Source organism: Homo sapiens, chromosome 4 (genome assembly GCF_000001405.40).
Source record: "Homo sapiens chromosome 4, GRCh38.p14 Primary Assembly".
NCBI classification, from domain to species: domain Eukaryota; kingdom Metazoa; phylum Chordata; class Mammalia; order Primates; family Hominidae; genus Homo; species Homo sapiens.
The window spans coordinates 94,116,768-94,138,714 of record NC_000004.12 but is presented as its reverse complement, the minus strand read 5'-3'; the positions used below and the strand labels follow the sequence as shown (position 1 = coordinate 94,138,714).

Here is a 21,947-nt window from a genome sequence, read left to right as displayed (position 1 = left end):
TCTGCCTCTTGGGTTCAAGCAATTCTCCTGCCTCAGCCTCCTGAGTTGCTGGGATTCCAGGTGGGCACCACCACGCCCGGCTAATTTTTGTATTTTTAGTAGGGACAGGGTTTCACCATGTTGGTCAGGCTGGCCTCGAACTCCTGGCCTCCCGCTTTGGCCTCCCAAAGTGCTGGGATTACAGGCATGAGCCACCATGCCTGGCCAAATGTATTCTTAAGTATTTTTTTTTATGTCACTGTGAATGGAATTTTTTTAAAAAATTTATTTTTGGGTTTATAACTAATATTTAGAAGTACAATTAATTTTTGTATATTGAAATTTTGTCCTGCAACTTTGCTGAACTTACTGGTTTTGTTAAATAAAGATTTAACCCAATCTTTATGTATTTTATTTATTCATTCATTCATTTATTTATTTTTTTCTTGCCAGATTACCCTGGCTAGAATTTCCAGTACAATGATAAATAGGAGTGATGAGAGCAGACATCTTTGCCTTATTCCCTATAGTACAGTAGGGGGAAAGCTTTAGGTTTTTTGTGGATTTCTTCTATCGAGCAAGGAAGTTTCTTTTTATTTCTTATTTGTTGATAGTTTTCTTCTAAAATCACGGATGGATCTTGGATTTTGCCAAGTGATGTTCATGCATTTATTAAGAGGATTGTGTGAGTGCATTTTTAATTCTAATTAGTAAGGTGTCATACGAATTAATATTTGGATGTTAAACCAATCTTGCATTTGGGTTTAAATACCAATTGGTCATGGTACATTCTCTTTTTTTATATGTTCTTGGATTTGATTTACTAATATTTTGTTGAAGATTTTGTATGTATAGTCATGAAGAATATTGGTCTGTAGTGTTCTTGTGATATTTTTGTCTGGCTTTGCTATCAGAGTATTATTGACTTCATACAATATGTTGGAAAGCTTCTCCTCTATCTTGAGAGAGTTTATGAGGGATTGATATGCTTTCTTCTTTAAATGTCTGGTAGAATTCACCGGTGAGGTTATCTATGCTTGAGCTTTATTTTTGTGGGAAGGTTTTAAACTACAAATTCAATTTCTTTTTTACTGTGGGTATATTCATATTTTCTATTGAGTCAATTTTAGTGATATTTTTCTTTTTTCAAAAATTTTTTTTCCTCTATTTCTTTTCTTTTCTTTCCTTTTTCTTTTTCTTTTTCTTATTTTTATTTTGAGACAGCGTGTTACTCTGTCTCCTAGTCTGGAGTACAGTGGTGGAATCTCAGCTCACTGCAACCTCCACCTCCCAGGCTCAAGCAATTCTCATGCCTCAGCCTCCCGAGTAGCTGGGATTACAGGCATGCACCACCACACCCAGCTAATTTTTGTATTTTTAGTGGAGACAGGGTTTCACCATGTTGCCCAGCCTGGTCTTGAACTCCTGGCCTCAAATGACCTGCCCACCTTGAATTCCCAAAGTGCTGGGATTACAGGTGTTAGCCACTGCACCTGGTCTAAGTTAATTTATTGCCATAAAATCATTCACAGTATTTCTCTATCATCATTAGTGATGTCTCCTCTTTCCTTTCTGATTTGGTCATTTGTATCTTCCTTTTTCTCGGTCACTTTTTCTTCTCTTCGAATATGAAGATAGTACCTCACAGATTGAACTGTTTGACCTCCTTTTTTATTTTCTAGAAGAATTTTGTTAAGAATTAATGTCGTATTTTAAACGTTTGGTAGAATTTATCAGTGAGGCCTCTTGGACCTGGGCTTTTCATTGTGTAAAGATTTTTAATTACTAGTTCAATTTCCTCACTTGTTAGGTTTATTTAGCTTTTCTACATATTTTAGTTATTCCTGATTTAAGCTGTGATAAATTAAATTATGATCTCATAAATTGTGATATATAATGCTTGCTTTCCTTCCTTCCTTCCTTTGTTTCCTTCTTTCCCTTTCCTTCCTCCCTTCCTCCCTCCCTCCTCCCTCCCCCCCTTCCCTTCCTCCCTCCTTCCTTTCTTCTTTTCTTTCTTTCTTTCTCTCTTTCTCTCTTTCCTTTCTCTCTTTCTTTCCTTTTTTTTCTTTTGATTTCTTTCTTTCTTTCTTCTCGCTCTGTTGCTCAGGCTAGAGTGCAGTCCTGTGATCATGGCTCACTGCAGCCTCACCTTCCCAGGCTCAAACAATCTTCCCACCTCAGCCTCCTGAGTTGCTGGGACTACAGGTATGAGCCACCATGCCTGGCTAATTTTTTAATTTTTTGTGGAGTTGGAGTCTCACTATGTTGCCAGGGCTGGTTTCAAACTCCTGGGCTCTAGTGATCCTCCCACCTCAGCCTCTCAAATTGCTGGGATTACAGGCAAGAGCCACCATGCCTGCCCAGGTTTTCATTTTTATTCAGCTCAAAATATTTTCTAATTTCTCTTGTGATTTCTTATTTGATTCATAGGTTATTCAGATGTACATTTTAAAATTTCTAAATATCTGCAGATTTCCCATATTTTCTCCTGTTTATGACTTATTTAATTCCCTTATGATCAGATAATATATTTTGTATGATATCAATTTTTTCTATTCTTATTTTTATTTTTACAGATGATGTCTTGCTGAATTGCCCAGGCTGGAGTGCAATGGCTGTTCATACGTACGATCATCATAGTGCACTACAGCCTGGAACTTCTGGTCTCAAATGATCCTCCCACATCAGTCTCTTGAGTAGCTGGGACTACAGGTGTGTGCCACTGTGCCTGGCTGATATCAATTCTTTTAAATTAACTGAGACTTGCTTTGTGAACTAACATATGGTCTGTCCTGGGAAATGTTCCATGTGCACTTGAGCATCATTCTGTTGTTGTTGGCTGGAGTTTGCTGTAAATGTCAGGTCAAGATTGTTGGCAGTATTATCCTGATCTTCTATATCCGTGTTGATTTTTCTATCTAGTTGCTCTATCCATTTTTGAATGGGATTTTGAGTCCTCCATTATTACTTTTGAAGTGTCTCTTTCTCCCTTTAATTCTTTAAATTCATATACTTTGGGGCTCAGTTGTTAGATGTGTATGTTTATAATTGTTATATCTTTCTGATGTATTTATGCTTTTATCATTATAAAATGCTACTCTTTGTCTTTAGTAATACCTTTTGTCTTAAATTCTGTTCTGTGTGGTATTAGCATACCCACTCCACTTCTCTTGTGGCTATTAATTGTATAGCATGTATAGCATTTTTTTCATCCTTTTACTTTTTTTTTTTTTTTGAGATGGAGTTTGACTCTGTTGTCCAGGCTGGAGTGCAGCGGCACAATCTCCACTCACTGCAACCTCCACCTCCTGGGTTAAATCAGTTCTCCTGCCTCAGCCTCCCGAGTAGCTGGGATTACCAGTATGCGCCACCACACCCAACTAATTTTTTTTTTTTTGGTATTTTTAATAGAGATAGGGTTTCACCAGGTTGGCCAGACTGGTCTCAAATTCTTGGCCTCAGGTGATCCACCCGCCTAGACCACCCAAAGTGCTGGAATTACAGGCATGAGCCACTGTGCCAGGTCCATCCTTTTAACCTGTTTGTGTCTTTAAATCTAAAATGTGTCTCTTATAGGCAGCATACAGTTGGATCTCTCTCTCTCTCTGTCATTTTGTACCATTGGAATGTTGGTTAACTTTTGTTTGTAAAGTGCAGAAATTATTAATTTCGAATTGTGAAGATTAAATTGGATTGTTAGAAGGCTTGTTAAAACAGTGATTGCTGGGCTTCACCTCCAGCATTTCAGATTGAGTAAGTCTGAGAATTTTCATTTCTAACAAGTACCCTGCTGATTATGTAAGTGCACTAGTAGCCACACTTTGAGAATCATGGAAATAAGATGATACATTAAAATATCTAATGCAGTTCTAGGTACCTCAAAATTGTTGATTCTATTCTGTTGCTTCTATTCTATTACTCAAAAGTCATTCATTCTTTGAAAAACATACTCTGTTGTCATAGTTTTGGTGTTGGCTCTAACGTTTATATTGATATTTTTGAGGTTTATTAAAAACAAATAAGCCTATGTATAAAGAAATTAGAAACACACCAATTGCAAAAGATACAATTTGTAAAAGATCAATTTTTATCCTTTCTGGTATAAGACATTCATGTAACTTGAGCTCTATATAAGATCATATAACTAAAATTAATGTTCTTATAGTAGATAAATCTAAATCAATTAATCATAAAATAGGAAAACGTTTTAATTGAAGGGAAAATAATGATAGCAAATACAACAAAGATTGGTGCTAAATTGTGTCAATGGTGTTAATATGCAGATTTGATACTTTTACTTTGAAAATACGTTGAAATTCTTATTATTTAATGTTTGATATAATTAATTCACATTCAAAGGATGATACATTTGTATAAACTTGAACTTTTATCACCCAGAGCTGGGGAATTTCCAGACTTTTACATGCAAGCTGTTTTTAAAGAAAAAGATAAATCTCCCTTTAATCCAATGTCTTTGAAAGATTATAAGGGGTTCACTACTTAAAAAAACCAGTTTAAAAAATAAATAAATGAAGATCTTGGATTAAATACATTATTTTCTTGTTAAAAGTTGGTGCAGAGCCTTTTCATATTTTTTGTTTCATTTTAAATATTAACATATAGAAACAGTGATTCTGCAAGAGGGCATTTTTTTGCTGGTTGGTTTCTCAAATGTGAAAATGAATCTAAAACATAATATCAGTGTCTACAATGTATGTTAGTGATATTTGTTATTTTAAAGTAGAATTTATCCAAAATTGGGTTATAATAATTAGTTCTACTGTATACACTTAATAAGCAGTCATGTGTTGCTGAATGACAGGGTTACATCCTGAGAATTGTGTAGTTAGGTGATTTTGTCATGTGGACATCAATCATAAGGTGTACTTACACGAACTTAGATGGCATAGTCCATTACACACCTAGGCTATATGGCATAGTCTATTGCTCCTAGGCTACAAATCTGTATAGTATGTCACTGAACTGAATACTATAGGCAATTATAACACAATGGTAAGTATTTGTGTATCTAAACACAGAAAGGGTACAGTAAAAATATGATATAAAAGTTTAAAGATGGTAGAACTGTATAGGGCACTTACCATAAATGGAGCTTACTAGACTGGAAGTTGCTGGGTGTGTTAGGCCATTATTGCATTGCCATAAAGAAATACCTGAGGCAGGGCGCAGTGGCTCATGGCTGTAATCTCAGCACTTTGGGAGGCCGAGGCAGGTGGATCACCTGACGTCGGGAATTCGAGACCAGCTTGGTCAACATGGTGAAACCCTGTCTCTACTAAAAATACAAAAAATTGGCTGGGCGCTGTGGCTCACGCCTGTAATCCCAGCACTTTGGGAGGCCGAGGCAGGCGGATCACGAGGTCAGGAGATTGAGACCATCCTGGCTAACACGGTGAAACCCCGTCTCTACTAAAAATACAAAAAAATTAGCTGGGTGTGGTGGAGGGCACCTGTAGTCCCAGCTACTCGGGAGGCTGAGGTAGGAGAATGGCGTGAACCTGGGAGGCAGAGCTTGCAGTGAGCCGAGATCGCACCACTGCACTCCAGCCTGGGCGACAGAACAAGACTCCATCCCCCCCCCCCCAACAAAAATAAATCAAAAAAGCAAAGAGTTAACTGGACATGGTGGCATGTGTCTGTAATCCCAGCTACTTGGGAGGCTGAGGCAGGAGAATTGCCGGAACCTGGAAGGCTGAGGTTGCAGTGAGCTGAGATCAAGCCACTGCACTCCAGCCTGGGCGACAGAGGGAAACTCCATCTCAAACAAAACAAAACAAAACAAAACAAAACAAACCCAAAATCTGAGACTGGGTAATTTATAAAGAAAAGAGGTTTAATTGGCTCTCAGTTCTGCAGGCTATACAGGAAGCATGGTGCCGGGCATCTGCTTGGCCTTGGGTGAGGCCTCAGGAAGCTTACAATCATGGTGGAAGGCAAAGAGGGAGGCAGTGTATTATATGGCAAGAGTGGGAGCAAGAGACAGTGGTGGGGGGTGGGGGGAAAATGTGCCCCACACTTTTTATGTTTTTTACATTTTATTTATTTATTTATTTTGAGACAGGGTCTTGCTTGGTTGCCCAGGCTGGAGTGCAGTGGGATGATCTTGGCTCACTGAAGTCATGAACTTCCAGGCTCAAATAATCCTCCCACCTCAGCCTCCTGAGTAGCTGGGACTACAGGTGTGCAGCACCAAGACCGGCTATTTTGTTTTATTTTTGTAGAGACAAGGTATTGCCATGTTGCCCAGGCTGGTATCAAACTCCTGAGCTCAAGCCATCTGCGCAACTCAGCCTCCCAAAGTGTTGCAATTACAGGCGTCAGCGACAGCTCCTTGCAGCCACACACTTTTCAACAACCAGATCTCATGAAAACTCTCTCACTATTGTGAGGACAGCACCACATCATGAGAGATCTGCCTCCAAGATCCAATGACTTCCCACCAGGCCTCACCTCCAACATTGGGGATTACAATTCAACATGAGATTTAGAGGGGAAACATCCAGACTATATCACTGGGTGAGTCAGTGAGTGATTGGTGTGTGAATGTAAGGGCCCAGGACATCACTGTACATTAGCATAGACTTTAGAAACACTGTACACCTAAGCTACACTAAATTTGTAAAAATAGTAACTGTGCTACAACTTTATGACAGCTAGACGTCACTAGGTGATAGGAATTTTTCGGCTCCGTTATAATCTTATGAGACCACTGTCGTATATGCGGTTCATCATTGACTGAAATGTCATTCTGTAGCCCGTGACTGCATTTCCGTATCAGATTCTTATTACTATTCCTGTATTACTAATATTATTTTCAAGAGACTCAGAGGTGAAGCACACAGATTTATGAGTTAGGACTACTGGCTAAAACCTTACTCTACCATTTCCTAATTGTGTGGCTTTGGGCAGTTAACCTCTCTCTGTGCCTCATTTTCCTATATGTAAAATAAGGATAAAATAGAACCCACATTGTAAGGTTGTTGTAAGGATTAAATGAACTAATTTAGGTATGTATACCACTTAAAACTGCATCTATATTTTTTTGTAAGCACTCTCTAAGTCCCAGCTATTATTGCTGCTGCAAAAACAGCAGTACAGTAGTTCCCCCTCTGTGCGGTTTTGCTTTCTGCTGTTTGTTACCTGTGATCAACTGTAGTCTGAAAATATTAAATGAAAAATTGTAGAAATAATAAATTCTGTGGTCTTCCATTGCACACTGTTCTGAATAGTGTGATAAAATCTTTTGCTATCCTGCTGTCTCCCTCCCAGGACGTGAATCATCCCTTTCCCCAGCATATCCACACTGCGGCTGCGACCGGCTGCCTGCCTGTTATTTGCTTTAGCCCTCTCAGCAGATTGATTGACACAGCATCACAGTTGTTGTATTCAAGCAACTCTTATTTTGCTTAATAATGGCCCTGCAGTGCAGGAGAAGTGATGCTGGAATATTATTAGAATTGTTTTTTATTTTATTGTATTTTATTATTAGTTATTGTTAATCTCTTACTATGTCTAATTTAGAAATTAAACTTTTTCATAGGTATGTATGTATAGGAAAAACATGGTCTATATAGGATTCAGTACTATCTATGGTTTCAGGCATCCACCCGGAGTCTTGGAACATATCCTCCACGAAGAAGGGGGTACTACTCTACTAATACTGCTACCATGTTTGTGTAGTGCTTTAGACATTACATAAGGCTCTCATACCTGAGACCTAAAGAAATCCTGTGGTGTAGGCGTCCCAATGTGGGACACCTTTCCTAATTCACCATCAGGGTAACAGCTGAAACTCCTATAACAAAAGACAGGTTAACAAGGGAAAAGCATAACACATTTACGTTATCAAAGTTTTATGTGACACAGGAGCCTTCAGAAATGAAGACCCAAAGACCCAGGGAAAACTGTTTATTTCTATGGTTAGGTTTGATGAAAAATAAACAGCAGTGTAGAAATATGATTGGATAAAAGAGTATGATCTAATGGTAATAGATTGAGCAGGGGAAACCCAGGAAGGCCTGTCTATTCAGATTCTTCTTGGCCTCTCTGTGCAGGATTCCTTTCCCTAAAGTATGGGGCGGGCAGGTCAAGGCTGCAGTGAGCTGTGATGGCGCCATTGCACTGTAGAGTGAGACCCTAGACCTTTTTTTTTTAAAAAAAAAAAAAGTATGGGGCAGGACCTCCCTGGAATGAGGGTCTTATGACCTACTTTCACAGAAGGTAGGTCAGAGAATTTCTTTTCTTTTCTTTTCTTTATGGCCAGCTCTCACACAGAAAGGTAGGGGAAGGTCAGGGTGACCATCTTGCTTCTGAGGCCCTCCCAATCTCTTTCAGCTCAAAGTTGTTGGGGTAGTATTTTCTGAGCCCCAGCTAATACTAAATACTAAAATAATTTGCAGCTATGTGTATAAAATGCATTTGTGTTACGTTACAGCATTTTGCCATGGCTGCTTGCATAGGAGAGTGCTGAAATGGCCAAAGTAGAGCAATCCCTCCCATTCCCAATGTCACAGAGCAACTCCATTCACTCCTCCCCGCCCTCCCTTCCTTTTTCCTTCTTTCCTTCTCTTTTCATCCTTCAACATCTTGTATACTTGGGGGATCTCATCGTGAACTAAGGGTATGCAGGCCTTGAACTCATGAGCATAGTCTAGCTATATGACAACCATGTGCTGTGTGCTCACTTTTCTTTTCTTTTTTTTCTTTCTTTCTTTCTTTTTTTTTTTTTTTTTGAGACATTGTCTCACTCTGTCACCCAGGCTGGAGTGCAGTAGTGCCATCTGGGCTCACTGTAACCTCTGCCTCCCGGGTTCAAGGGATTCTCCTGCCTCAGCCTCCCTAGTAGCTGAGACTACAGGCATGCATCACCATGCACGGCTAATTTTTGTTATTTTTTGGTAGAGACGGGATTTCACCATGTTGGCTGGGCTGGTCTCAAACTCCTGACCTCAAGTAATCTGCCTGCCTCGGCCTCCCAAAGTGCTGGGATTACAGGCATGAGCCACTGCACCTGGCCCTGTGTACTCATTTTCATTATCACTCCATCAGCTACAGAAACATTGACTTTCTGGTGCAGAGGATGTTTCTTGGATGCTGAAGAAAACACAAGCTCTGGCAGTTCATCACTTTTTTCCTTCTACCTACAAAAACCCTACTTAACCTAAGTATTTTGTAGTCTTTTTTTCCTGCTTTTTTTTTTTAACTTTTTCTTTTTCACGCTGAAAGAAATGAAAAAAAAATTCTAAAATTAATTCCCAAGAAATTGCCTAATTTTATTTTTAATGTGTTTATTTATAATGCCATTAAGTTTTCATAATAATAGGCATTTTAGTAAATTTCACCTAGTTTCATAATCACATAATCATTCTTCTTTTGTTGTTTAGGTTGTTTCTAATTTCTTACTTTATAATGCTGTGAGCAATATTTTGATGTTTACAGCATTCTCTCTAATTTTCTTTCTGTTGGGACAAATTTCCAAGACAACAGTTCTTAAGAAAAAGTGTATGAATATTTTCATAGCTTGAGACCGTCACCTTTTTTCAAAGTATACCTTTGCTAACATTATAGTCATTATAACTAAATTTTGCTCATTTTAATTGTCCTAAAGTCTTGTTTCTAGGAATTCTTTTGCTCTATGAAGATGACCTTTCCAAGATCCTAATGTGCAGGCTTACCACTATAAACTTTTTGACTATTTTTATTGTCTTTTCTAAGGTAAATTGAATATTCAGAAAGTTTGAAATCATTAAACCTTATTTCTGCTTTTTTTTTGGTAAGGAGTTGTGAAAATTAGCTAGAATGTTTGCTAAATTTAATTTTTTTTTTTTTTTTTTTTGAGATGAAGTCTTGCTCTGTCACCCAGGCTGGAGTGCAGTGGAGCAATCTCGGCTTAATGCAACCTCTGTCTCCTGGGTTCAAGCGATTCTCCTGCCTCAGCCTCCCAAGTAGCTGGGATTACAGGTGCCTGCCACCACACCTGGCTAATTTTTGTATTTTTAGTAGAGACAGTGTTTCACCATGTTGGTCAAGCTAGTCTCGAACTCCTGACCTCAGGCAATCTGCCCGCCTTGGCCTCCCAAAGTGCTGGGATTACAGGCATGAGCCACCACTCCTGGCTGCTAAATTTAAAGAGATAAAATAACTATTCATTTAGTTTACTGTATGTCCCTAAGGTCAGGAATAACGTGTTTTTTAGAAATGGTAGATTAACAGCAAATTTTGTTAAACACAAATATTACCTTAAACATTCACTGAGTCTTTCCATTAAATTTTCTCATTTATTCATTTATTTCAGAAAGATGTGGAAGATTATGTGCAAAGGGATATCATTATAAGGGAACACAGAGCTTTCCCTTTAAGAAATACTATTGTGCACTTAAGAAGCCACTGCAAAACTTTTAGAGTGAGGTGTCTTTTAGGAAGCAGAAGAGATATTTCCAAATTTACAAAAGTCTCATGGAACAACGTATAGATGATTATTTATCTACCTCAGAAATGAACAAGAGGGTTTCCAAGTAAATAAGTGTCTTATTTCAAATTTTCTCAAGTCATTAAGACATTAACTTTGGGAGTATATAATTTTCTTCATGGATTTACAGATTATTTAAGGGTCTTTCCTCCACATTTTGAACAATAGATGGAAAGATACTAAGTTATGTGTGAACTGTATCACACATGTATCACAGGAACATGACCATTTTAGTTCCTCAGTTTAACCTACAACTAGTCTCTATTACTTTGACCACTGGATTATTACGTAAGAATTTTAATTTACAGTGTTACTTGATGTCCACTAGGGGGGACCAAACCACGAACAGAATATATGCTTCTATTATTTCTCCAGGTGGTGAAAAACCCAAGCCATTTCAGATGGCCCACTTGAAATCACAAATTAGTCTTCAGTGTTTCCTATTTCTAAAAGGCTAACTCTATCAGGATATACAAGCAAATGTATGAAAATATTGGGGAGTCAATATTAGACATATAATATTTTAGAGTAAAGCTAAAGCTTGCCAAGAGTCTTTGATAACTTGAAAATTTATCAATTCTTAGAAAAACAATAAACTATTTTGAAATTGCTCAACTTTTAATAAATACCACATTTATACATTTTTTAAAAACCTTGACTTATTTGACAAGAAGATGAAGGTGAATTTTGAAATATGACTCTATAATGTAGTATGTGAATGTATTTGGGGTCATGATAAATATACAGAAGATTTTATTGGAACAATGTTGTTTATTGGGACAACTTTATCAGTGAATAACTTAAAATTAATAAAGCCTACAACATTTTTGTAATTCTGTAATTTAAAATGCCATGGTTTGAAAATATTGTTTTCCAAAATAAAGTTCATGTGTATCTTAGGACTCTGTGAATTTTAAGTTCACTATCTCTGTTATTACTTGAAATCTCTGATTTGTAAGATTTTCATGATATGAAGCAGTATATTTTGCATAGTTCACAAAATGTTCTAACAAATGTGAAAGCATTTTCATATTTTGTGAAAATATTACAAGAAAAATAAAAATATTTTATGTCATGTAAGTATAATTTAAGAAACTTAGGTTGCAATAATTTTCAAAATAAAAAGTAAGCACACAGAAAAGTATCACTGTGTAGAACTATAGGTCCTAAACAATTTATTTTTATATGAGCAGCTTGAATTTTACTGCCAAATTCATTTAAAAAAATCAGACAATGTGGAAAATAAAAACATGACTTGTTTAAAACAACAAAAACAATCACGACAAAACCATTAAACCACAAAGATCTATCATGTATCAGATCTATTTCTCTGCAAAATACAGAAAAATATTGCAGAAACTAAATGTCCACTAGATGCCACACTTCCTTTGCTGAGTTAAGCAGTACTTTGACTCCTGACAAGCTTTATGCAGATGCTACTGTATTTGGTAACGGTAACAGGACCCCAACTCAATTGTCTTTTCCCTTACATTCTTTCGCTCCTACTATGATATACCTAATCATCCAAAATTTGCTTAGTAGTGGTACGTTATAAAGTTCTGCTGAGATTCTTAGGCACAAGTACAGAGAATTATATTTGCTGACTTTAAAGATCAAGTCAGAGTTAACATCCCTCATTTTGGAGCACTGTGTGTGTGTGTGTGTTGTGATGACAGCTAAAGACTTTTTTCTTCCGACCATTTGATTTTTAAATTTACATGTTATTTTTTTCATTTTGTATACATATTCTCTATTTCCTCCCTCAAGAAAAACATAGAAAGGCCAATTTTTTAAAAAATATAATAAGGAGAAGTAACTTAACTTTTTGGAAAACTACGTTGAATGAAACTGACTAAATTGTCTTTAGAGACACTGACATTTATTTTGTTTTCAGAGATCATTAAAATGGAAAAAAATAACAGTCTTTCCGTTTTCTTTGACATTTTTCGTAGGTTGAATTCAATAATAAAATGAATAGAAATCAGTAAATAGGAGAAGTACAAGGCATTATCCCACAAGCTCCCACTCCATGTTATGAAACAAGGCTAACAGGACTACTAAGTATTGAGAATATTTACACTGAACTTGAACCACAAGTATTTGATGTAGCTGTGAATTGTCATTTATGACATCTCCATGGAAATTGAACCTGAGATTAGCATTTGATGATATAAAATAAATAATGTATCTTAATCATGTGATAGTGTGAGGCCAGTCTTCTGTCTTCCTCCAGATTACCAGTCACCTAAGCAATTTTTCCCTAGAGCAATTATAACTTTATGGCACTGTGTTTTCCCTACTTCCAAAATCTTTTGAGGATTTCATCACTATATCTAATCACTAAGAAATCTGCAGTGAATTTAAAAAACTGCACCTAATCTGACTTCAGTTGTTGAAGTAGCTAGTGAATTTTACCGCTTAGTGTGTATTTTTTTCTAAATTAATGTGTTTTGAAAATTAATTTTCAGATCAGTCCCTTTCTTTGTAACCCGTATGGAAGACTCTCTCTCTTCTTCACCCCTGTTTCTCTCTGTAACTGACATAAACTAAACTAAACTATTGGCCAATCAATTCTAGAGAGGAGGAAAATACCAAACAGATCTTCAATCTAAAACAACAACGACAACAGCAAACAAAAAGCAAACAAATCAATGCAATTGCTTTGATTGGAAAATCTAGATAATCTGTATATATACAATAGGAGGTTATCAAAATAAATTACCGTTTTTTCATTCCTAGTAATTTTTTCCCACAAACATAGCATCTGTTGTTAAATACTTCATTAAGTGGGAAACTTAAACAATTTGTGGTCATTTTCCCAAGGAAACTTGAAGAAATAAATTAATCCAAACATGGCTCTGTTTAAAGGGCTCAAGTAAACAAAGCGAGATAATTCTGACACCTCCTAAAAGCTGATCTAAGAACAGATTTTGTCTGTAAATTCTAGTGTCTCTATGAGTATCTTTAATAGTATACACTATTAACTATTTAATAGTATACATTAAAAAGCCCAAAGGGCTATTTAGAAATGAAGAAATCTTGGGGACTTGGAGTCCCCAAAAAACACTTTTTCTCCTCATCTGAAAGATGAAAGTATGGTAGAGATACTATAATTTGTCCTGTAACTTATTTCCATTGAATTCTAAGAGTTAAGTGGATTCTGCCTTAATGATACACTTTAACTTTAACCCTCTCATTTTCTAGGAAATGTATCTGTATCAGAAATCATCCAGAAAAAAAATTGCTGGCAGTCAATGTAACTGAGCAGCAAGAATATGGTTTGCATCATCTAGGCATTGAGGAGAATAATAAATGAAGTCCTCAGAATTCTTTTTAAAAGTTAGAGGTAAGATACACGGCTGCACGTTGATGAAAGTTAGAATGTGTTTAGATCTGGATCCTGCTAAAAAATTAGGTCAAGGGTGCAGGGCAGCAGCCTGGTGTATGTCTTGGGGTGGGGGGGATGCTCTCCTTAAGCAATCAGTAATATCTTAAAAATTTAAAACCCTGGCCGGGCGCGGTGGCTCACGCCTGTAATCCCAGCACTTTGGGAGGCCGAGGTGGATGGATCATGAGGTCAGGAGTTTAAGATCAGCTGGGCGTGGTGGTGGGTGCCTGTAATCCCAGCTACTCGGGAGGCTGAGGCAGAGAATTGCTTGAACCCGGGAGGTGGAGGTTGCAGTGAGCCGAGATGGCGCCACTGCACTCCAGCCTGGGCTACAGAGCAAAACTCCGTCTCAAAAAAAAAAAAAAAAAAATTGAAAACCCTAATAGTAGAACACTTCACTGTTCAACTCTTCTAACAATACAGAAGTATTAATAGGATATTTCAGTAAGGTCTCAAGTTGGAGTACAGTAAGTTAGTGTTGATACTTTTTCTATAGGTATGTGTATATTATAGAAGAGTGATTTGAATAATTATATTTTTTATAATAATAATATTCATTACCTCCTTACTATGTATACACATTCCCTCCAGGTCTTTGAGTACAAAAGGAGGACTTAGAAAGTCATAAAGTTCTTTATATCTTTCTCGAAGACAAGAAGGGCCTAGATCTTGGGCACTCAAATTGCCTTTTTGGTTTCCCTGGGTCAGTAAATATCATTATCTGTATTTGCTCTTCTGTGCCTATTGTCCCTCGCCACTACCCTGCCCAACAGTCAGCAGACTCAACCAACTATCTATAAAAATGGTGAGAAAATAGAAGTTAAATCTTTAGCAGTTTACCTCTTAGGTTTAAGATTTGGCCGGTCCTCAAAATTACCCTAAAGGAAATATTACTCTTCCTTCCAAGATCATCACTAAACTGATGGCAAACAAGTTTGAGCTTAGTTGTTTCCCAGAACATATTTGTCCCAAACAATGTCTTGTTGTGAGTTGGCATTCTCACCGGGTTCTCCAAGAAGTGTATAGGTGAACCCAAATTTTGTATGAAATGTTCCACTTTCCTTATGGGATCACCATTAATTCCTTCAAGTCCTTTCTGTCTCTCTCCATCCCAGGTCTAATGCTTAAATTCTTCTGAGACCTTATATGAGGTGAACAGTTCACATATAATAAAAGGATGGAGTCTAATGCCAAATGAATATGGTTATATAAGTGCAAGGTAGAAATAGTCTGAAAAAGATATAAGCTCTGTGGATTTAAAACTGGCCTAATGCATGTAGAGAGATATGAATGTAGCAAGGAAAGGATCATACCTCCAAAATTTTGGCCAAGTCACATCTATAAGGCATCAGACCCAATATATTCCAAAAGAGTACAAAATTGATTAAGAGCTCAAAGTGAAGAGAATTTATTAGTGAATATTAAATGCTAAAATTAATATTTAAAGTCATCGATTATTGTTGATTTTATCACTGATTTTTTTTTGCGAAAGAAATTTTGCAATGTGAAAACAAGGCCCTGCTAGACAATAAAGTCTTATAGTGCTATTAAAATAAAATGGTGGGATATTGGTACAAGGACAGGTATACACATTTATGGAATTGAATAGGTAGCCTATAAAATGGGAAGAATACATGATCATTACTTTGTCTCTTTCTCTTATCACTAGTTATTCCATTTATCTTTAATTTATTATTTTTCTATCCCTCTTTTATCTATCTAATCTATATATTTGTCATGTTTCTTCTTTTTTATTTGAGATGAGCACAGAGAAAACATATATATAAAATCAAGAACTAAAGCCAGCACTATAAAAATATGAATAAGAATTTAAGAATAGGGAGGAATTTTCCTCCACTGTATACGGACAAAAAAGGTCCATTTAGATTGGCTTTGAGCTTCAAGGCAGCCAAAGGGAAAAGAGATAAAGTCCATTATATATTTCTAGTGTAAAAGAGAAAAAAAATCTTATTTTTTCAGGAAAAGCAAGACATCTCCTAGTAAGCTTTACAAGAAATTTCTCACATAGAACTCCATAAAGGGACAACAGAATATAGTGGCACCATCTCAGCTCACTGCAACCCTTGCCTCCCGGGTTCAAGCAATTTCCTGCATCAGCCTCCCGAGTAGCTGGGACTACAGGCACGTGCCACCACACTTGGCTAATTTTTTTGTATTTTTAGTAGAGATGGGGTTTAACCATGTTAGCCAGGATGGTCTCGATCTCCTGACCTCGTGATCTGCCTGCTTCGGCCTCCCAAAGTGCTGAGATTACAGGCATAAGCCACTGCGCCTGTCCCAAGAAACAGTTTTTTAAAAGACTATATCTTAGATTAGGCCAGGCATGGTGGCTCATGCCTGTAATCCCAGCACTTTGGGAGGCCAAGGTAGGTGGATCACCTGAGGTCAGGAGTTCGAGACCAGCCTGACCAACATGGTGAGACCTCATCTCTATTAAAAATACAAAAATTAGCCAGATGTGGTGGCACGTGCCTGTATCCCAGCTACTTGGGAGGCTGAGGCAGGAGAATTGCTTGAACCAGGGAGGTTGCAGTTAGCAGAGACTGTGCCATTGCACTCCAGCCTGGGCGACAAGAGTGAAACTCCATCTCAAGGGGGAAAAAAAAGACTGTATCTTTTTTAGACTGTATCTTAGATCATTTTTCACTAAAAGCTAATGACAAAACAGAAGAATAGAAATTCTTATACAAGAGAATTATAAACTAGTGTTTGCCATATGTGGTAGGCAGGATTCTAAGATGTCCTTCAAGATTCCCATCCTCTGGTGCACACGTTCTGAATAATCCCTTCTGCTTGCATGAGGCTGGGACTTGTGGATATAATGGGACGTCACTCCTTGATTATGTTTCATTACCTGGCAAAAGGGATTTTGCAGATGTAATCAAGGTCCCTAGTCAGTTGATTGAGGGTAGGCCTGACCTAATCAAGTTAAGTGCTTAAATAAGGTGGAGAGATTTTTCTCCTGGCCTTACAGGAGCATGCTGTCATGTTGTGGAGAGGGCCATGTGACACGCAACTGTGGGATGCCTCTGAAAGCTGAGAAGGAGCAGGGCGTGGTGGCTGATGCCTGTAATCCCAGCACTTTGGGAGGCCGAGGCGGGTGGATCACGAGGTCAGGAGTTCAAGACCAGCCTGGCCAAGATGGTGAAACACCATCTCTACTAGAAATACAAAAATTAGCCAGGTGTGGTGGTAGGCACCTGTAATCCCAGCTATTTGGGAGGCTAAGGCAGGAGAATCACTTGAACCTCAGAGACGGAGGTTGCAGTGAGCCAAGATCGTGCCGCTGCACTCCAGCCTGAGTGACAACTGAGAAGGGCCACCACTTGGCAGCCTCCAAGAAAGGAGGACCTCAGGCTTACAACTGCAAGGAACTGAATTCTGCTAGTAACCAGTGAGCTTAGTAAAGGAGCCTGAAACTTAGGTAAGATTGCAGTCCCATTAATGCCTTGACTTCAGCCTTGTAGGACACTGAACAGAGAACCAGCAGTGCCATGCTGGACTTCTAAACTACGGATTCAGGTAAGAAAAATGGGTGTTTTAAGCTGTTAAATTTGTAGTAATACATAACACAGCAAGAGATAACAAATATACTGTGCTTGGAAAACCTACACAGACCAATAAATCTCCTCAAAATATTTGTCCCAACTTTCTACATTGACAAGTAAGGAAATAATCCACAGTAACAACTATTATAGAAGTTGAAAACTGGTGCCCGTGGCCTGAATTCAGCACTAGATGTATACTGTTTAGCTTGCACTGTTAAAAACATGTTTAAAAAATTCAGTTTTCAGTATCTTAAAATTGAGAAATTATTCCTGGCACAAAAAATGTCTACGTCTGGTTTCTCTTCTTTTTTTTTTTTTTTGAGACGGAGTTTCGCTCTTGTTGCCCAGGCTGGAGTGCGTTGGCGGGATCTCGTCTCATTGCAACCTCTGCCTCCCAGGTTCAAGCGATTTTCCTGCCTCAGCCTCCCAAGTAGCTGGGATTACAGGTGCGCACCACCACGCCCAGCTGATTTTGTATTTTTAGTAGAGATGGGGTTTCTCCAAGTTGGTCAGGTGGTCTCCAACTCCCAACCACAAGTGATCCACCTGCTTCGGCCTCCCAAAGTGCTGGGATTACAGGTGTGAGTCACTGCGCCTGGCTCTGGCTTCTCTTTAAAAACAAAAAGGAACAGTGAGCCTTGATTCTATTTGGAAATAATTACCTAGACCAAGAACTTAGTTTCTTCCTTTAAATGAAACTTCTGCTTCCATTTTGCTATATCCCCTCAGGCTGTTTTTAAAAATTGCACCAAGATACTTCTCTCATTTCACCCATTTGCATTATCTGCCTGACTGCTGTATAACAAGTGAGAAAAATTATAAGTACTATATAAAAAATATGTTATATATGCAATATACATAAATTTTTGTATGTGTAGATATATGGTACTTGTATACTTATACATTAGTTATAAATATAATCCAATCCATTTCACTTTATGAAAAACTACCTTTTTAGCATTTTTTTCCTTTCATTTTGCAAAGAACTTTCTAATTGGGGAAGCAATTATTGTTGGGTTGCCCTCAGTTATGAGCCTGGGGTCCCTGAGCCTTTTGGGGCCCCTTTAGATCACACTGTAAACTACATAAAAAATGCTATTCAGTGTAGATATCCTGGTTTTGAATGTATTTTCATACTTAATCTTAACAGAAGTTAAAAGAAGAAAGATGATGTTAAGATCATAATTGCAAACTTAACCCTTGTCCACTTCCCACATAAGGGGTCCAAACAAACTCATCCAATGGAATAACCAGTTTTGGGACAAGTTAAACTAGCTACATTGTTTACTTATTATTTAGAGCAGTATAGCCACAGACAGATTATGTTATGGACTGAATGTTTGTGTTTCTCTTAAACTTGTATGTTGAAATATGTGGAAATCACCCACAATGTGATGGAATTAGGAGGTGGGGCCTTTGGAAGGTGAGTACATCACGAGGATGGAGGCCTTATGAATGGGATTAGTGCTGTCACAAGAAGAAACAGGAGAGCTTCCCCCCTCTCTCTGTTCCCCACTGTGTGAGAATACAACAAAAAGAAGGCCATTTGCAAATCAGAAAAGGGACCCCCGCCAGAATCTGACCATACTGGCACCATGATCTTGGACTTTCCAGCCTCCAGAACGGTGATAAATTAATTTCTGTTGTCTGAACTAGCCAATCTGTGGTATTCTATTATAGCAGCTGGAACTGGCTGAAGTAAACTATAATTGCTGTTATTTGAATTCCGTTACTCACATGGGTTTTTTGACATAGAGCTTGTAGATGAACATAGAAATTCTGATTTTAGGGCAGGAAATGATCTTGTAGTAGATTATAAAAATGGCTACAATTTCTTTCCATCCATTTATATACTCTCCCCCCCCTTTTATTTTATACTCTCCCCCCCCCTACTTTTTTTAGAGTGTAACGTTGCATTTCCTCCCACTAAGAGTGGAATCTATTTCTTCATGACTTGAATCTGGGCCATGTGACTTGCTTTGAACTGTAGGAGAGTAGCAAATGTAATAGAGATAGGGACTTGGCTTTTGGGGGCTTGCCTCTCTTGCTGGTCTTGTGAATCCTATATCTACTACAATATCAATAAGCCTGGCAAGCCTGGCAGGATGATCAGGTTCATGGCTCACTTACCATGTTGCTTCAGTAGACAATCAACTGGTCTCCCTACATGAGAGTAAAACTTTGAATACCAGCTGATCAGAGACACATGTAGGGTGTCCAACTCATCTTCATTTGGCAGGAAAACTGAGATGGTCGATTACCCCAGATACATGATTGAGCCCACCCAAGGCTAGCACAAGAGCCATTGTCTGAGTTCAACCCAGTTTTCTTACCCCCAAATCATGAGTGAATACATACATAAGTTTTTTTTTTTCTAGCATAGTTTGTTATGATGTAGAAGCTAACTGATACAGACTTGTAGAGACCTATCCAGTTCATTTACCTTGTTTTGGAGATCAGAGAGATGTTGAAATTCAGAGATAAAATGATACCCAAGGTCACTTATCAGGTAAGTATGAAGTTTGTCAAGTAAATCAAAGCCAATGTTAACAAATGCCAGGAGAAATCTTCCAAGGGAAAATATTTGGATAGTAGTATATAAAAAATCCACAGGTGATGACTATCCAATTATGTACATATGGAGAAGCTGTATAATACAGCATACAAAAGCAAGGGTTTTGAAGTTAGGAAGATGTGAATTCAAATTCTACTTGATCATTTCAGATCTTAGATAATTTACCCAGCCTGCCTAATCACTAGTTTCCTCAGTGTGAAATGGGCCTATTTATATATACACCAATAGGCTTTATAATGTGTGAATTAATTTAATATAATTTAATACAATTTAATACAATATAAAGTATTATATATAATGCCTGGCACATAGGAAAAACTTCATAAATGGTAGCGATTGTTTTTATAAAAATGCATGTTACAGAGTCATTAAAACACTTGTTTATGCTGTTTTAGTATTTGGTTTTGGACAATCCTAGTAGTGGCCTTGGACTGTCATTTGCATCGCTAGTCCCAGATAGAATATAGACTAAGAAGCAGAGAGCCTAATTTTAGTTATTTTATGCCTCATTTTTTTTTCCAATTTCTGTAACTATCATAAACATTTACAGCTGCAATATTAGGAAGCTATCTGTGGTTAATTCTATTTTTAATAATCTCTTTTCTGTTTATAGCCAATTTGAAAAGAAAAATTTCCTACAAATAGACCCTAGTTAAAATTTACTCAATCATTTTTGTTTGCAAGTATTAGTTATTATATGGGTTTCAGATAATTATAAAGGAATATTACTAAGACATTAAAGAACAAAATATTCACATTAGCAAAACTAGCCTTAAAACTGTTTGAAGAGTAAAAGGTAACTCAGAAGCCAGAAGATACTAAAATATTCTGATTGGACCTATTGCTGCAATGAATGGCAAGCTGGTACAGTTAAGCGGAAATCCATTCAGGTAACCAAAAAAAAAAAAAAAAAAAAAAAGACACCAGCTGTAAACTCCCAGCTGCAGTTGGAAGAAAAAAACATTACAGAAAAAACATCTTAAACTTCTCCGTACTGTAGTTTTTGTGAATGACCATTGTAATGTCTCTGGTATGGGAGCACATTAAGAAGAAAAGGCAAGATCAACACCGTGACCACACCACAAGCCTCAGGAAAGGCATTGTCAGTTTATTGTTGAAGGCACATTGTTTAACATTTCACCGAGGAAAATATCATTTGGTATTTCAGGGGCAAAGTTGCATCTCCAAAGCTTTCTCTGTTTACAGTTGTCTTCTCATAAATTCCATTGTAAACAACCTACTCTCCATAAGGTGATTTCTCTATAGGCATCTAATTTAAATAATAATTACAGTCTCTGAATTTGACATTAGCATATTTTTATACTGTGGAATAAGATTGTATTAAAAAATTCTAGATGTGAGGTCAATCTCAGGAAATAAAATTTTACTGGATGATACTGTGATTATGTTTTAGAGTACAAATTAAGGTCTTCATTATATAATTAATATCTTAAAAAATTGTTACCAAGCAGATTAAAAAAAATAAAGGAGCTCACATACATTTTTATTTAGGCAACCATAAAATAATATTGCTTTAAGCCTATGTATGCAGAGTGAATTATTTGGTATTTTAAAGGTGCTTAAGTGTGTACTTGTACAGAGGAAGCTCTCTATCTATAGGACAGGTTTAAGGCACAATAGCAGCATTACTAGCTTCTCCAAGTATTCCCACCAGGGAGCCTTCATCTATCCCTAGTGAGACCAGAATGAGTTGGTAGTTCAAATTCCATAGCCCATTCAGTCTCCTGAGACTTCAAATGAGGGAGCCAATTATGATGGTGGGTGCTGGGTCGTAGACTTGTGTCCATGATTAATCAGACTGGGTCTGCCTCCAGTTCACATTATAAACTCCAGCGAGTGACACTCAGGTGGTGTAGCTTTCACTCAGGCCCACATGGACTGGGTTTAAACTGATGAACTGACATTCTGCAAGAGAAGGCTCCTTAT

General features: G+C 37.5%; 1 long non-coding RNA gene across 1 annotated transcript in view; it reads left to right on the top strand.

Annotated features, from left to right (window-relative positions):
• The window catches only part of SMARCAD1-DT (SMARCAD1 divergent transcript), an 89,737-nt gene extending 68,842 nt beyond the window's left edge, over positions 1-20,895 (top strand). Inside the window, exons 6-9 of the long non-coding RNA NR_125922.1 lie at positions 2,556-2,691; positions 13,673-13,814; positions 19,804-19,934; positions 20,614-20,895. This is a non-coding gene — a long non-coding RNA (SMARCAD1 divergent transcript). The remainder of the gene's footprint in view (positions 1-2,555; positions 2,692-13,672; positions 13,815-19,803; positions 19,935-20,613) is intronic.
• The last annotated feature ends 1,052 nt before the right edge of the window (positions 20,896-21,947 follow it).